General features: G+C 50.0%; 1 protein-coding gene across 1 annotated transcript, besides 9 other annotated features; it reads right to left on the bottom strand.

The window, feature by feature from the left end:
• Positions 228-497: an enhancer, noted in NCBI's record as "active region_4033". NCBI's record gives its function as "activates an Ori minimal core promoter by ATAC-STARR-seq in GM12878 lymphoblastoid cells {active_cell/tissue: GM12878}" and the evidence as "EXISTENCE:reporter gene assay evidence [ECO:0000049][PMID:35858748]".
• Positions 578-627: an enhancer, noted in NCBI's record as "active region_4032". NCBI's record gives its function as "activates an Ori minimal core promoter by ATAC-STARR-seq in GM12878 lymphoblastoid cells {active_cell/tissue: GM12878}" and the evidence as "EXISTENCE:reporter gene assay evidence [ECO:0000049][PMID:35858748]".
• Positions 1,058-1,137: an enhancer, noted in NCBI's record as "active region_4031". NCBI's record gives its function as "activates an Ori minimal core promoter by ATAC-STARR-seq in GM12878 lymphoblastoid cells {active_cell/tissue: GM12878}" and the evidence as "EXISTENCE:reporter gene assay evidence [ECO:0000049][PMID:35858748]".
• Positions 1,796-15,422, bottom strand: DUSP5 (dual specificity phosphatase 5). The gene is made up of 4 exons (NM_004419.4): positions 14,829-15,422; positions 10,460-10,608; positions 6,175-6,394; positions 1,796-3,309 (listed from the first exon to the last, which is right to left on the bottom strand). The coding sequence occupies exons 1-4, from the start codon at positions 15,205-15,207 to the stop codon at positions 2,903-2,905; spliced, it is 1,155 nt and encodes a 384-aa protein (NP_004410.3). The 5' UTR covers positions 15,208-15,422; the 3' UTR covers positions 1,796-2,902.
• Positions 8,850-8,999: an enhancer, noted in NCBI's record as "active region_4030". NCBI's record gives its function as "activates an Ori minimal core promoter by ATAC-STARR-seq in GM12878 lymphoblastoid cells {active_cell/tissue: GM12878}" and the evidence as "EXISTENCE:reporter gene assay evidence [ECO:0000049][PMID:35858748]".
• Positions 9,050-9,279: an enhancer, noted in NCBI's record as "active region_4029". NCBI's record gives its function as "activates an Ori minimal core promoter by ATAC-STARR-seq in GM12878 lymphoblastoid cells {active_cell/tissue: GM12878}" and the evidence as "EXISTENCE:reporter gene assay evidence [ECO:0000049][PMID:35858748]".
• Positions 14,696-14,965: a silencer, noted in NCBI's record as "silent region_2818". NCBI's record gives its function as "represses an Ori minimal core promoter by ATAC-STARR-seq in GM12878 lymphoblastoid cells {active_cell/tissue: GM12878}" and the evidence as "EXISTENCE:reporter gene assay evidence [ECO:0000049][PMID:35858748]".
• Positions 15,086-15,145: a silencer, noted in NCBI's record as "silent region_2817". NCBI's record gives its function as "represses an Ori minimal core promoter by ATAC-STARR-seq in GM12878 lymphoblastoid cells {active_cell/tissue: GM12878}" and the evidence as "EXISTENCE:reporter gene assay evidence [ECO:0000049][PMID:35858748]".
• Positions 15,216-15,355: a silencer, noted in NCBI's record as "silent region_2816". NCBI's record gives its function as "represses an Ori minimal core promoter by ATAC-STARR-seq in GM12878 lymphoblastoid cells {active_cell/tissue: GM12878}" and the evidence as "EXISTENCE:reporter gene assay evidence [ECO:0000049][PMID:35858748]".
• Positions 15,366-15,895: a silencer, noted in NCBI's record as "silent region_2815". NCBI's record gives its function as "represses an Ori minimal core promoter by ATAC-STARR-seq in GM12878 lymphoblastoid cells {active_cell/tissue: GM12878}" and the evidence as "EXISTENCE:reporter gene assay evidence [ECO:0000049][PMID:35858748]".

The raw sequence follows: 15,975 nt of genomic DNA, 5'->3' as shown, positions 1-15,975 counted from the left end.
GGCCTAGCTCATTAGCTAGGGTGGATCTGAGGGGGCTTCCTACAGGTACAGCCGGGAAAGAGAGAACTAACATCTTTCTTCTCCTGAACACATCTCTATGTGCGATGATGCTTGGAGACCGACAGAGGTGTTTCTCAAAACCTGGGGATGAAGGATCTAAACGCCATCAGCTTGAATTCCCCATTTGGCACTGGAAGCCAGTGTAGAGTTGGTCTTGGCAAGAATGGAGATGTAATCAATGAAGAGACTATTAAGTGGAGTGAGGGTTCTAGAGCCATCTCCAGCTGTGGGGCTTCACTTGGCTTACCCTCCAGTGACTCACCCGCCGATGAGCAATCCTCATATGCCTGATTTAGAGGACTTACTCACCCTTCAGAGAAAGACTTTAATGCAATAAAGCAAATGTCAGCAAGTGGGCTGAGCTTAGCACATCACCCCAGCCTGCATCCAGCTTCCTACTCCCCGGCTCTCCCTACCCAAGGTTCCTTTAGCCACTCAGCACCTGCATAGGCCCACACAATGGGCAGGCTTCAGGGACACACTCCAAGGCTGGTCAGAGGCTCAGAGATGGGACACCACGAGGGATTAGGCACCAGCTAGATAAGAGCCCTGGAGAAATCTAGTCCACAGAGGTTGGAGATTAGCTCCAAACCACTGGAGAGCTGGGGGAAGGGCAAGGGCTAGAACCCACAACTTCTCACCATCTGGTCTAGTGCTCTTCACTGTGGAAGCTGTTTGGTTACACAGATGAGGGGAGTGGGCTGAAAGAAATTCAGCATCCTAACCCTGGGTGACCTTCTCATCTGTGGACTTTCCAAGGAACCTCTGAACACAGTTGGGGAAAGGAAAGACAGGTGGAGAGAAAGACCTCACGCAAAGCCTTTGAGGTGAGGAATTTAGAGAGCTGGGCTGCCTGTGCTCTGCCACCATCTTGCTATTTGTTGACACAATGCATGTCGGGAGAACTGGACACCCTTTGGACCCTCCAGCATTGAGAAGTATGGCTGGAATCCCTGTTATTTATCAGCTGACTGGGATGGCATAAACCCCAACCAGCTCCCTGTTCCCTCAGATTAGGAACAGGACCCAGGAGTTAGGCTGGAGCCCAGGCAGAGCCAATCATGGGGAGAAGCTGACAACTGCCCCTTCCTTCCTCCACCTACGCAGAGGAAGTTACTCACAAAGCAAGTCGATTCAGCCTTGGATTTAAACCTACTCATTGAGGGATTTACGTTGGAACTCCTGGGGAATTATCTAGAATTAGTTGCAAGAGTGGAAAGAGGGCGTCAGGCAGGCTGGCAGGGCAAACTTTCACCTCATTCACTTCTCCATCCCTTGGCCACTTACCCAGCCTTTTCTGAGTCTGCCATATGCCAGGCACTGGAGGGAGGTAGCTGGCCACAAGCTTGGCACTCAGGCTTACTGGAACCAAGGGCCTTATGCTTTAAGGGACTCTTGGGATCATCTAACTCAGCTCACTCTTCACAGGTGAGGAATCTGAGGTTCAAGTAGAGCTCTTTGCCTAGTGCGATGGCAGTGAAGGGCCCTGAGTGGGCAGATACTCTCACCACCTCCCTATGAGGCCTGCACTAAGGAATTCTCTTGCCGGTTAGCTTAGGGAAACCCCTCAGTTGGAAAGCAACATTCTGTATCGTCATGCCTATAGCTGCACCTCCACCACCATCACCCTGTTGTTCATTTACAAATAAATCCCAATGAAGCAGGCTGGGTCCCCACCCAAGGGTATTCCTACCTTATCCCAATTCACCAACAACATGAAGAAGTGCTTTTCTCCTTTTACTATTTTTATTTTACACTATAAAAAACAAGAACAACAACAACAACCAGTAACATACTGCTTTTCTTCACATTCACACGGGTCTTAGAAAATTATTGCCTTTTCCCCTGGAGAAATAACTAACAGACAAAAAGAAAAAAAAAGTAGTACCACGTTGCAAAATCTGCAAATCCCAGAAGTCCACAGCTTGAAGACAACCTCCAGGGGCAGGGAGGAAAACAATTGTCACAAGAGACATAAGCACACAGAAGGACAGGCAGCTGAGGAAACCAGTTTGCACCGCCACTGACCCAGGATACCTAGCAAGTACCCTTCTCCTCCTGGAATCTACTGCTACCACCTCGAAGGTATGACTTTTTTGGTCTATGATCTGAAGAACTCTTTTCCCAAAGGAAGAGTTGCTCTGAGAAGAGGTGGAATGAGACAAGTTCAAGTATGACTAAGAATCATGCCAAAGTCCAAGGTCAGTGAAGAACCCATGGCAAAAAAAATCCAGAAAAGCCAACATCTTGCTACTTCAACCAACTACCTCATTGGACCCAAGAGGGTGTCTACACAACATTTCAGGGTTCAAATCAGGATGCTGATCATGTCCCTACAAACCCTGTAGGGTTACTTTCCCAACTAGACGGTGATCAGCTTATGCCCCGAAGCAACAGAGACAGACATTGAAACTGCCAAAGTTCAAAAAATAAGGTGGAAATTGTGCTTCCTTCAAAATGAATTGGCTTCATAACTGCCTTTTCTCCTGGTCCAGCAACTTCTTTCTCCCACGTTGCTGCAGGTATTTATTGCCTTATGCTTGAAATGAAAAGGCGAACTCTGAGGTGCAAGGACTGGGCAGTCCCAAGAGGGCAGGGGTCTGGAAGTACAGTAGTCAGCACATGCTGTGCTCCCGTAATGGCTTGGCCTTCCTTCAGTCCCGAGAACCTACCCTGAGGTCCGTCTGAAGTTCATTTGCAAGCCTGGTGACCACTCACTATCTCACTGGGGCAGCATGACAGAATGAGGTCTTCAGTATTGCACAGGTATGAAATGTCCATGAGTCTTAAAAACAAAAATCACAGTTGCTCTTGGGGCTGGGCCGATTCCTCCATCCCAGTTTTAGCAGGATGTGGCCGTTGCCACAGGGCTTCTGCTGAGCTCTGAGACTGTTGAGTGGGTAGGCACCGGTGCCAGCACCGAGGCAGGGAATGTGCAGTAGGCACCCTGCATGTCAGGGCTCAGTGTCTGCAAATGGCCTATCAGTGAAGAGCCTGCTGCCTCCCCTTGGCAGGAGGGAGGCTGGGGGTTGGGCGTGGAGGGCAGGATCTCAGATTCGTACTGCAGGAGCTGGCCCATGAAGCCAAAGTTGGGCGAGACCATGCTCCTCCTCTGCTTGATGTAATCGAAGGCCTCCTTCAGGCGGAACTGCTTGGTCTTCATAAGGTAAGCCATGCAGATGGTGGGTGAACGGGAGATCCCAGCCTCACAGTGGACCAGGACCTTGCCTCCCTTTTCCCTGACACAGTCTGGAAGGAAGAAAAGATGGTGGGAGTGAGTTGGGATTAGAATCTAAGGGCAATGGCAAAACACAAGAATCAAACACTGGAGTAACCTAGATATGAAACTGTTGTGCCTGCCTAAGAGCCACGGCCCTACACTACACTTCTGCCAGTCTTTAATCCCCACTGGTGAGGATAGAGCTTTTGGGGTCCCAGCAAAGACTATCCCCAAGTAGGACCTTTACAGTTTACAGCAGCTATTGTCACAAGAGACATAAGCACACAGAAGCTTTACAGTTCCCAAGATACTTGCAGATTCTGCCTCTGGAGGCGATGGACCTGGAGCAGTCCCTTCCTGGGGATGCCATCTTAACCTAGGTTCCACTGATGGTTCCAAGAGGGCATTGGAAAATCCTTGAAATTGTGCACATTTTTATTGGGCACATACATTTTTCTAAGGAGAGCATCCCAGGCTCAAAGACTGACTTGGAGAAGCAACTCTTGTCTCTCCAGGTCTGATTCTAAGGGTAACAACCTAACCCCGATCCTGGTAGAGGCCTTCCGGTCTCTCCGGGCACCCTGTCTGGCTGTGCCAGGGCAGGATGCTTGGCTCAGCTCCCAGGGTTCTCACCACCAAACACACAATAAATAGCGCATGGCCACTAATTATAGCCCTGGCTAAGTGACGCCTACTAGACGGAGGATATAAATGGCTTTCACAAATTCCATCTTGCTCAACAATGGGAGTCGCTGCTATAAAGCTACCACCATCAGTTAGCATTCTTTAGCTCAATATGACAAAAAGGGGAGGATGCCTCCCTTCCTGTTCTACCTCCCAGCCCCCTGCCCCCAGAAAACCAGCTACAACTATTAAAAATGGGAAGGGGTGAAAGGTTAAAGATACGTACACATCAAATCCACAAAAAATACAGTCTTTCCAATTCCCTCTCTTGCTAGTGAGGAAACAATTACATCACAGGAAGTTAGATGTAGCTGGCACTACGCAGGCTACAATACGCAAAAACATTTACGATTTTGAAGGGCCAAAAGAAAAAGTCATTCCCCTTACCACCCTCCACTTCCCTGCCCCAAGGTCAAAGTATGCAAATCAATCTGCAAGATCTAAAAGATAAAATTTCTGAGGCATCAGGGAGGAATCCTAGAGTTTCCCCATCTGAACAAAAACCCCACAGCATACCCCAAAGCAGTTCAATAGGGGTGTCCTCCAATTCAGTCTGACTCAAAAGAAACAACAAAACAGTCTCTTTAAATTAGTTCAAAGGGGAGACCCCCAAGTCCCTAGAATTACAGAGTCGGGCTCCTATCTCCCTTCGCTCCTCTGTTGGCCTCCTTCAAAGTTTAGCTTTTAACTGGCCTAGTGCCACATCCAAGAATGCAAAGGGTCCAGAGTGTATTGCCTCTGGAGCCCACTCGACACCTCGGAGCCTGCCTTCCACATGGCCCTCTTCCCTTGGAAGGGGTCAGCATATATTCAGCACATGGCTCACTGGGGAGACCCAGTCTCTCCTTCCATTAGCAGGGCAAGCAATCGGAGAAAAAGCATCCTGTGCTTTCAAACTGCTGTGGGTTTGTGGATTGTGCGTACACAGACACAATACACACACAGGATGGGGAGGGAGGGTTCTGAGAACTGGATGGGGGCGTGTTTCATGACCTCATGAAGTAGCTACCCAGGTAATTAAATAACAGGCTGAGAAGGGCAAGGCATTCCCAGGGACAGGGAGAACAAGTCAAGGGTTTCCCACCCTGAACCCATCATTTGGCTGCCTTTCAAGCTCCAAAGGAATCATTTCAGCCCAGAGGCTCAGGGGACAAGCAGGACAGGCTCGGCCTTTTGCCTCTGATGAGTTTCTCGTCAGGGTTTCCTGGGGAGCAGAAATTGTGTGGTGAACAGAGGGCCACTATGTGGCTCAAGGGGGACCTTTAATTGCTATCTGCACTAAGTAATTATTGCTGTGCTAACACCTGCCTTTCCTCCTCCAACATCCCTTGGAACAAGAGACAGGAAAATCACGCGTCAGTTTCAACAACTACGTATGTTAAAGAGGAAGATGGGAGCTGGAAAACGGGGCATGATCACAAGGTTAGAGACTGGTACTTGCAAATCTGAAACAGAAAAAAGTCAGGCCAGCCTCCTAGGAAGATGGATGGGGGAGGAGAAGATGCCAAATGGGAGAACAATCCAGGCAACACAGAGGACCTGGAAACCCTAAGGCCACAGCCCTTTCCTGGCAGAGGGACCAGAGGCCAAGGCCTCGGTTTTCAGGTCTATGCAATGGAATAAATAACTGCGTAACAAGAATGCAGAAAGCAGGCAAAAGATGCCAACTTTTCTGTGCATACAGCATGGAGCTTGAGTCAAGTGCTATCTTTAATCCAAAATTAGCTGAAAATGCAAAACAAATTGCCCCAAGCCGTTCACCAAGAGTATGGAAAGCTGCTGGGGGCCCTTGGGGCTCAGTGCGTAAGTAGTGCTCTCTGAATCCTTCTGTTTGCTTTTAAAAATAAACCCAACCTACGTAGAAGCACAGTTAGGGAGGTTCTTCCCCCTGCTTTCCTTGTGTGGAGCATTACGCAGGGATACACTCAGCTCCTGCCCAGCTAGAAACAATAACAAGATCGACAGTGAGTACTGCCATAAAATTATATTAATTCATTTATCTTGCAAATTAAAGCTCCTATTCATAGCAACTTAAATCCTCCCTTCCACCTTTTTGGTAGCTGCATCCCATGTTGGCTCCAACTCTCAGCAGCGGCATATACAAGACACTTTTCTTTCAGTGAAGGTAGCTTCCATCAGGGCATCAAAAGTCAAGAACACATGCCCCAAAGGGGCTCCCAAAATAACTGAAGGGGAATGGCTAAACCTACCAATGAAGTCTATTGCTTCTTGAAAGTGGGAGCTAATGTCAGCCGTGTGGCTGTCTTCCACAGGGATCCATTTGTAGTGTAGGTGGGTCGCGCAGGCCTCGGAGGTCCGTCGGGAGACATTCAGCAGGGCTGTGATGTGCAGGTTGGCGAGGAACTCGCACTTGGATGCATGGTAGGCACTTCCAAGGTAGAGGAAGGGAAGGATTTCAACTGGGCCACCCTGGATGCAGGGACAAAGGACAATCAGGAAATATTGGATTAGCTTGTTCATTTGAGAGAGGAAAAAACAACTCCGACCTATTTGTTTCTTAAGATGGGTGGTTCCCTTTCTGGTTTCCAAGTGGAGTTCAGAGCCAGGGCAGTTCAACCAAGTGTGGTTGTATCTCCATCCTGGCCAACTCTCTACCTTATGTGACTGCCTTGTGACTCAATGACAGCAAAATCCACACAGCAAAGAGTTCACTTTTTTGCACATATCCAGGAGGCAGGATATGCCGACAGCCTTCCTGCGCTGACAAGGATGAGAAGCCATGTGGTAATATGGGAAAAATTGACAGGCCTGTGTTGAAGTTACAGCTGCCCTGAGAGTACCAGGGCAATCTCCTATGCCTTGGGACAGTCTTGCTTTCTTTACAGATAAAATGGACCAGGACTCAACATGGTGTGTGTCCTCCTTTACAGCCTTGACATTTTACATAGTGTATTTTTTTTTTCCTTTTTGGAAAGACAGAGTCTTGCTCCGTCACCCAGGCTGCAGTGCAGCGGCACAATCATAGCTCACTGTAATCTTGAATTCCTACGCTGAAGAGATCCTACCGTCTCAGTCTCCCGAGTAGCTGGGCCTACAGGCATGTACCACCATGCCTGGCTAATTTTATAATTTTTTTGGTAGAGATGAGTTCTTGCTATGTTGCCCAGAATGGTCTTCAACTCCTGGCCTCAAGCGATCTTCCTACCTCAGCCTCCTGAAGTGCTGGGATTATAGGCATGAGCTACCAAGCCTAGCCTATATGGTGTATTTCATCAAACCTAAGACACTGTTGATCCTAAGATGCACCCAGGTTTTAGAGATGTTAAAATGCACCTCCACCTCCACAAAAAAGTATGCTTTTTAGAAATGAAAATAACCACTACCTACTCAGAATCTTTAGATAAAAAATGTTGTCAGGCCACAAGCAGAGGGGCTTCCCCGCCTCTGACCTTCTTCACACGGGGGTTTGTTGAAGGTGCTGGTGAGACCCGCTTACAGAGCCATCCTTTTGGGAGGCTACCCACACCCCAGATTTCTAGTCAAGGGGGAACCAGAGACCATCCACCTTGAGGCAAAACTAAAATGAACCGCTGGTTAGACTCTGGCAGTCACAGCATTTACAGGGCTCTGAAGGTGGCAGAAAAGCTAGTGATGGTTGGAAAAATGGGAGCCCTTAGAGACTGAGAGGGAAACAAGGGGCTGGGTGACAGTGGCTGTGTCTTTGGGAGCCTTTCCCATGCCAACCATCTGCTTCCTGTGTTTCCATTTCCTGCCCTGGAATAAGAACGGAATGGAAACTCTCAGCCAGATCCCTAACAGGGAAGGGTGCGTGGGACAGGGGCCAGCCACAGGCAATTCTCAATTTACCCCACACCCGGAGTTAGCTTTTTGTTTCCTGAGAAGTCAAGTGTTTAAGCAAAGGCCAGTTCAGTCACTTGAAAGAAAATTACACAAGATTTTACATACGGTAATAACAACTGGTATTTTTATCAGCATCTACTATGGCTGGCCTCTGGGGGCTTAACCCTTTAGATGTGCCTACATCATACCAATTTCACAAAATCTGTGAGGTAGGTAACATTATTCCCATTTTACGGATGGGCAACTTGAGGCTCAGATGCATTTAATAACTTGTCCAAGTCAGAGCTAGTCAGTGGTAGAGCTGGGCTGAAACCCAAAACTGATTGCGTAGCATGAGATGCAAGGCCTTGTCTGACTCCATTTCAATAGTGATCAATATGAGAAAGTAAGTATTTCAGGTAAAGACAGGAAGGAAAAAATTCCCTCTTTCCTCTCTTCCTCTAGAGATAAAATGTCCATCTGCATCACCTCCTCGAAACCTCCCAAACTTCCATGCGTACAGAGCAGCCTTCCTGGTGGCAAAGTGGTGCAGTGGTTAACAACCTGGGCTTGGGCGTCAGACAGCGGAGCTCTTGGTTAAGTTCCAGAGCTCCATGCTTACTACCTGATGTGATCTTGGATAGCTTCTTTAATCTATGACCCTTTGTCTCTAAACTGGGGATAATACCTATCCTCTCTGGATAATTGGTAAGGTGTAAATGGGATAATGAATGCATTAAAACCTGGCACGTCACATAGCTGCCACTGTCATAGAGATTGAAGAATGAACAGAACATGGCTTCTCTCCATGGGGAAGACACAGGTTTTTAGGCAATCCAAGCAGGTCTAGTCCTGACCTGAGTTGGACCCACTCCCTGGGCACAGCATCCCCACCAGCTAGAAACCAGGAAAACAGCAGAGGTGGTACAAAGTTCTTTGGAAAGGAGTCAGAGTTCCAAGTCCAGATTCACGTGGCCACTGATGACTTATGGGTCCCCACCAATGGACACTAACAGGCTCGCCCTTTAAGGAGCAGGCTGGATGGTTGACTCAAGATCTCTTCCTCTCCTGAGTGCCTGGAAATTGCTGATACACCAGACCTGGGATCCTATCCAGTTTCTTTTGGAGCTCAGCCCAACACACCCCTGAAACTACATTTCTTTCCCTTTTTGAACTTCTGTTTAGACCAAGAGGAAGAAGCCAAAGGCCTTCAGAAACCCCAAAAGTTAACACAACCTCATCTGGCTGCTCTAAATGCAGAAGCATTTCTAAGAAGTAGCATTAGGGGGTTCCCCAGATGAATCTTGAAGACACATCAGGGCTTTCTCACCCCTCACTTGGCCAAAGATGTGCCGTGCTTTCGCAACATTCTGCCAATTCTTATTTCTCTTTCACTTTCTGAGAAATGGGGGGAAAACACAACCCAAACAAACAAACAAAAGTAGAAATCTAGCTAGGCCAGATGTCCACAGCTTGAAAGCCACAGGCTCGTCATATACTGTAAGGATGTTTATTAAAGGAAAACAAACAAAATCCTAACCCTGGCATCTGGACAAGCTAATAGGATTCCTGACCAAGGAGCCCGTTCAAGAAAAGGTCATCTGGCTTTACTTTGAAGTTTATCCCCAGGGACAGGGTTTTGTTCATGGCAGGGAGCTGGCATTTTAGCATCTAGCAATCTTTCTTCTTATGATTTGGGTATGTTCTTGGTTTATGTGAAAAGTTTGAAAGGTTACTCCCACCAGGTCAGGTGTCTAGATTAGAGGCCATGTGGAAAACAGAACAAGGTCCTGAAATAATCACAACAGAGAGCTGAGAGAAAGGGGTTCTGAGCCTGATGCTGCCTTGAACCAGCTGTAGGACTCTGCAAAATCAATCATCTCACTTGTCACAGAACACTTCTTTTCCCTTCCGTAAAATGGTTAGGTTTTGATCTCTGGCTTCTGCCAGATTTGGATTCTCACCTGCTTTTTCATCTTCCTGGATGGTGCTACGTAACCCCCTTCCACTTTATTTTTCCCTTTAATGAGTTATCACAAAGCACTCATTTTTAGAAGAAAAACAAAAACTCACTAGTTTACAGAAACATGAAGCCCTCTAGTATCTTTTGATTTCCTCTGGTTTCAGTTATCTGTGGAATTGTAAGCATAAGAACCCCTTAGAGGAGCCTACTTAGCCACCCAAACAGGACTTTCTCTGTAGCACCCCCACCAACACCAGTTTCAGTTAAACATACCAATAAGACACACCTTGACAGGTACCGGGATGGTTTGCAGAAACTGCAGAGCATGGACAATTACAAAGAAAAGCAACACAGGAAGCCTGAAAGTCAACTCTGAAATGTCTTCAGGGAAACCTAGACCAGTATTTCAAAGCTTCTCTGAACCTCCGAAGCCAGATGACAATAATGTATCTTTCACTTCCCCTTTTCCCCAGAAGCTGCCAAGCATCCTGTGGCTGGTTTGCTCTTGTCAGCTCGTTTGCTGGAAGGAAGCCCATTTACTCTTGGATGGAAGCTCAAGCTGGCAAGCAACAGAAGCTCCCTAAAGCCAGGGGATTTTGCCAACACCCTGATCCACAAAAGAACTAACCATCATTGCTGAGTGGGGAGAGAACAGTCAGGTGCTGAGGAAGGAAGGGAGACAGGAGCCCAGAATACCACTCAGGATACCTCTTCCCCATCACATCACGTACCTGGTCATAAGCTGGCCTGTAGCTGACATTTACCACTGGTTTTCCACACTGGCTGATGAGGGCTCTCTCACTCTCAATCTTCTCTTGTGAAATGGGTTTTACATCCACGCAACACTCAGGATATTCCGAGTAGAAAGTCTCATATCCCCCTACAAAAACAAACAAAAAGGTGAGACAGATGGTAAGCATCAATTTCTCACGCTGTCAAAAATACCCATAGTTAATCAATACTCTGAGTGTTACACAGTTAAGAAAAAAAATAAGCCAGTACAGATTCTGGTCATTAAAAATTGAGCAAAACCAGCAAACAGATTTAGAATAGAAAGGGGCTGTACACACATACAAACCTCTAAAAAGAACTCTTTCAGAGGCAATGATTAACTTTTTGTGTCTATCAGAAGCAGATTAAACTGTGAAAGAAAGTGTCTAGCATCTGGCAAATACTAACCAAATCCCTCCAGAAAACAAAGGCTATTTTCTCTCTTGTTTATCTAAAAGGAAGGTGTGATTACCCAAAATTTCATTAATTGGCGAGAAGACAGGCTCCTGAAGTGGCTTCTTCCCCAGCCCATCTGCTCTAAGCAGGATTCTAGCTGGAACCTCCTCCATTTATAAGGAAATGGGGGCTGATACGAGGTTTCATTTCGACTCAGGGCAGTAAAACAGCCTCACTGCTTCTCACTCCCAAGGTGCTAAGAAGAACACTGCTGACAATCCTTTCTAGGTCCAATTTGGAGTCATCAATCCAGTTAATTACCTTCTAAATCAACTGAAAGAATAAAGACTTCTGAATTTAATTCTCAGCCCTCATGAGCAAAAACTGTCTCTGTCCCCTTCATGACCACCCTATCTTCTTATCCCCACTTTTCTTACTTCTCTCCTACTCCTCCTGCACCCCCCCCCCAATCAATAAGTCAACTTACGGCATGTGTGACTCTCAGAATCCTTAATATTACATTTACACCTCTCCAAATGGATATAAGGTAAAAACGACCCTCTGAGCAAGTCACGGAAACTTGCAAATATAAGTAAGCCTTCTTGGGCCCATTTCAGTGGGGAAGAACCGAATGAAAAGGTGGCCTTGGAACCCTCAGAATGCCAAGGGCTGCCAGGTGCAACAGGCCAGCCTTGCTTGGGAAACTCCTTTGCTGGTAACCCAGAGAGCAACCTGAGACATTTCCTAGGGCCTCCAGAAAGCCCACTTGTCTTTTTCTGGCCCAGAGAATTCACTTGGAGTCAAATCCATTAAACATGCATTCTGAGACCATGAATTTTCCAAAGAACCCCCTTTTTCTTTTCTGACTTTGGGTGTTGTGATGCTGGCTTTTTTAAAGCCCTGCAGTAGACAAATGGTTAATGGATTACAAGGCAGTCTCCAACTCCCTCCCAGAAGCTGCAGCCAATTCCTAGAATGAGTCATCTTGCCATTACCGCTTCCTCTCAGCTCACTGGAACTGCCCCGCCCCCACTTAGTACACCCAGATCTCCCCTGTGGTCACCTCACAAGCAGCCCATTGCGCCTGCCCATGAGCTCCTGGTCCTCCTCAATGACCATGCTCCCCACGACAACGGGAGGCCACGGCAGAGGTGCAAGATGGTGCTATAGGCAGCTTAGCTTCCCATGCTCTGCCATAGCCCCTGGGCCCCTTCCCTTCCAGCAGTCAAGAGAGAATGAGGCAGGCTCACAATGACCCACAGCTTCCTTGGAAGAGGCATCCCTAGTCAGTAAACCACCTGATCACTTCCCGTGCCTGGACCTCGACATTATGGGTTCCAGGAGACAAACAAGGATTTGGATGGGAATTTGGAGTTCAGAATGACCTGGGCCCTCCCAAACTTCAGGACGAAGGTTGGGGAAATAGGAATCTTCAGGCTACCCCATCTTTTGGCTTTAAATATATTACTTCAGAGTTGGCTATCAGGAGGACAGATAAGAGGTTCGGGTGTGGGCTGGATCCTGCATGCTGTTGACAAAATTTAGTTGAGGGACAGATAAACAGGGTCCTGCCTCTTCAAGCTGGGATTCAGAGGAATCCTCCAGATTAAATGGTCTCAGTCTTTCACCCACTCCCATCAGAGGTGTGGAGAGACAGAACATTCCTCGCTGGTGCCTCACTCGAGTGGCAAAAGCCATGGCAATTCTTAGAGCTACTTCTTTTGGAGTGAGTCTGCTTTCAATCACCACCACATCACCAGGGAACAGAGAGAGCACAGATACTATATATAAATAAGCACTGACCACGCAATTCAGTCATCACCATTTCATTTTAGTGGTTGTTTGGGAGACAGGGGATTATGGAAAGTGTCAAAAGGCATTGCCCCCACCAAGATCTGAGATGCCACCAGATTAAAACCTGAACTCCTATCTGCACATGAATTACGTAAAGAAATAAAAATTTTCTCTGGCAACAATTTAAAGTTTAGTAGTGTTATAAGGGTAGGCATGAAGCAATTTCTACTGAAACTTAAAATGCATGTAATTCTTGACCTGGCAATTCTCATGATTTACTGAAAGGCACTGCACACGCAAGAGCACATGGAGAAGGACATCTACCGCATTGCTTGGAGCAGTGAGGCGGGACGCAACCTAATGGTCATTACAGGAGACCGGTTCAATGTGAAACAGACATGTATGATCAGATATGGACAAGTCTCCAAGATCTAGATAGATACAAGAGGCAGGACAGGGACTATACAAAATCAATCTATTTCTAAGATACTTATGAAAAACTATCTAAAGGTAAACAAAAAATAGTTGACGACTGTCTCTGGGGAGTGGAACTGGGTTCTAAGATATGCAGAAGACCCGCTTCTCATCACAGGGCCTTCATGCTGTTCAAATTTTTACCTGTGTATATGTTACCTTCTTTTAAAAAACATTTTAACCCAGTTTTCCTGAGATGTGAGTCTATAGAGCTGCCTACTTTGTGGCGACAACTTCTAAACTGTCAGCAGGGCCAGCTTAGAGAAGCATGGGGAGGAGAGGTGGGACCAGGGAGGGTCTCCTGGAACCTCTTTCATACTACTGAGGCAGAAACTTCTCCAAACCACAGGAGATAAAAACCATATTAGGAAGAGAAAGAAATCAGGAGGCACGCTGAAACCTCTGCAGAGCCAGAGGGCCAACCCTCTATCCCCTGGGGGATAGGCTGTTAGAAGAAGGACGATTACCATCTACCTCTGTTAACTCTCCAACAGGAAATCAACAGGGGACCAGTCAGCAGGAGGTGCTAGCAGAGAGGGGAACTGTCTCCAGAATCTTCCTGGCCCGGACTGTGTGAAACTCAAGTTGCATGGCTTTAAAACAGGCTCCTAACTCGGCGCCGGCTCTCTGCACCGAGCTCTGATCCCCAACACTGTTACATCCCAAGGTGTCCGCGCCAGGGCTGGCACGGCCTTGGGGCCCTGCTGGGGCTAAACCCTCATCTCTACATGTGGGTCAGGTCTCCCCGGGTGTCATTTGAGGTTACAAAGGACTCAAACACAAAGCAGGAGCAGTCATAGGAAGTAACCCAGAAAAAACCAATGCTTTGGATTTTGAGAGTCAATCACCCACCCACCACCAGAAGCCAAAGTTATCTTCCCGGCAGGTGAAATGGGCAGGCCTGTGGCGGTAGCTCCGGGAGGTGTCAAATCAAAGGCCGCAGAATCTCCATACCACCCTGCCCCCGCGCACCTCTATTTCGTGGCTGGCTGGCTGTAGGCTCAGCTCAGGATGGGTCCCAGGGATAATCCTGGGGCGGAGGAAGGAGGAGGTGAAAAGGGTGGAAAGGATGTGAGCTCCAAACTGAGCTAGAGAAAAGACCTAGGAGGGGAGAAGAGGCCGGAGGGAAACAATAAAAAGCAATAAAATGAAATGGAAAGGGAAGGGACTCGCCAGGTCAAAAAGGCAAGGGGGTCGGTGAAGACCACAGCTGGCTAGGCGGGAGGAAGGGGGGCACCACGGCGCCACACCAAGGGAGAGTGGATCGCGACCTGCTGATCCCGCCAGATCAGTCTATCAGGAAGGCCCCGAGCCCTGACCCCAGCGACAGCGGCGAAGCTCGCGTCTGGAAAGGGGGCTCGTGCCCGGCACGAGCCGACGGCCCCCAAACTGCTAAACAGCAGCAGCCCCCGCAGCATAACCAACTCCACCCAGACCACCGGGCAGACCCGCTGCCGGGCGCTTTCGAGGAACGCGGGTGGGGAAGAGGGGGAGCTCTGAGTGCTGACATTTGCAGTGCCCTCCCAAGCGCACAACAAGCCACAGGGTGCAGACTCCTGCAGGTGGTGACTCTCCCGGTCCCAGGGTGTAGGAGGGCGCCCCGGCGCAGGGAGGGGACCCGGGGGCGCCGGAGGGGCGAGCGTGGCAGGGACCCCGAGCGCTCACCTTTGAGGAAGTAGACCCGCGGGCCGGCGGGTAGGCAAGCGAGTAGCGAGGTGAGGACGACACGCGCGGCGCTCTCCTCTCGCAGCTTCTGCCAGTGGCGGCTGCCCTGGTCCAGCACCACCACGGCCGCGACGCCGCCGCCGCCCTCCTGCAGGAGCCGCGCGCGCGCCGCCTCGTCGGGCAGCACGTAGCGCGCCGACACCGCGCCGCCCCGGGCCCGCCGCAGCACCACCGAGTTGAGGTTGACGTTGAGCGAGCCGCGCACGTTCGAGGCAGCGAAGGCCAGATAGGGCCGGCAGTCGAGCACCACGCAGCGCGCCGCCGCCTCCTTGCGGAGCATCTTGCGCAGCTGGCGCCCGTCGAGCGACGTGACCTTCATGCCGCCGCCGCCGCCGGCCAGCGGCCCCGCGCCGCGCGCCCCGCGGGTGCCCACGGCCAGGGTGTCCACGGCCAGGGTGTCCGCGGGCGAGGCACGGGAGGGCGACCCGCGGGGCTGCGGCCGCGACGGAGCCCGGCGCCCGAGCGGCGGCGCAACTCCGCGTTCCCGCCCCGCTCGCTCGATAGCCAGCCCGGCCGCTCGCCGCCCTAGAAGCCGGGGATTCCGCCGGCCGCGCAGCGTTTTATGTGAATGAGTGCCGTCCGTGACGCGGCTGCCCATATAAGGCCAAATATGGGTGTTTCCCCGCCCCTCGGGCCGTGGCCACGCCCTGCAGGGGGCGGGGCAGCGGGGGCGAGGGACGCGCGGGGCGGGTGCCGGCGTTAGAGCGAGAGGAAGTGGAAGGCGCCTCTTCGTTCTCTCTTCCGCGCTTCGCTGAGGGACTCACTCGCGCATCACCCGCGGCTGCCGGTCGAGTGTCCCAGGCGCTCCGGGGCCGCGGTGACCCTCGCGGTGCGGACCGAGGAGGAAGCGCCGTGGGGGGCGGGGCGGCGCCGCACGATCCGGCCTTCAGCTTCACGGACGTGGGCTGAGAACCCGCCCGCGCCGCGCTGAGCAGGGCCGAGGGAGCCGGCCAGGGCCCCAGAGGAGTCCGGAACGGATTCCCGTCGCTACCGAGGTCTGCGCGTGTAAGGAGAGGACGTCGGAGATTTGCCTCGAGGGGTGGGGTATAGATGACTGGAGAGGTCAGGCGCGGGTTGGTCATCGCTG

Source organism: Homo sapiens, chromosome 10, assembly GCF_000001405.40.
Source record: "Homo sapiens chromosome 10, GRCh38.p14 Primary Assembly".
NCBI lineage: Eukaryota > Metazoa > Chordata > Mammalia > Primates > Hominidae > Homo > Homo sapiens.
Note: the sequence above shows the minus strand (reverse complement) of the source record. Positions and strands in the feature narration are given on the sequence as shown.

Coding starts and splice junctions, on each gene's coding strand:
- DUSP5 (NM_004419.4), bottom strand. CDS start 15,207: ATGAAGGTCACGTCGCTCGACGGGCGCCAGCTGCGCAAGATGCTCCGC. Junction 10,609..14,828: donor GCGGGTCTACTTCCTCAAAG/GTGAGCGCTCGG, acceptor TTGTTTTTGTAG/GGGGATATGAGACTTTCTAC. Junction 6,395..10,459: donor ACAGGCCAGCTTATGACCAG/GTACGTGATGTG, acceptor CCCTGCATCCAG/GGTGGCCCAGTTGAAATCCT.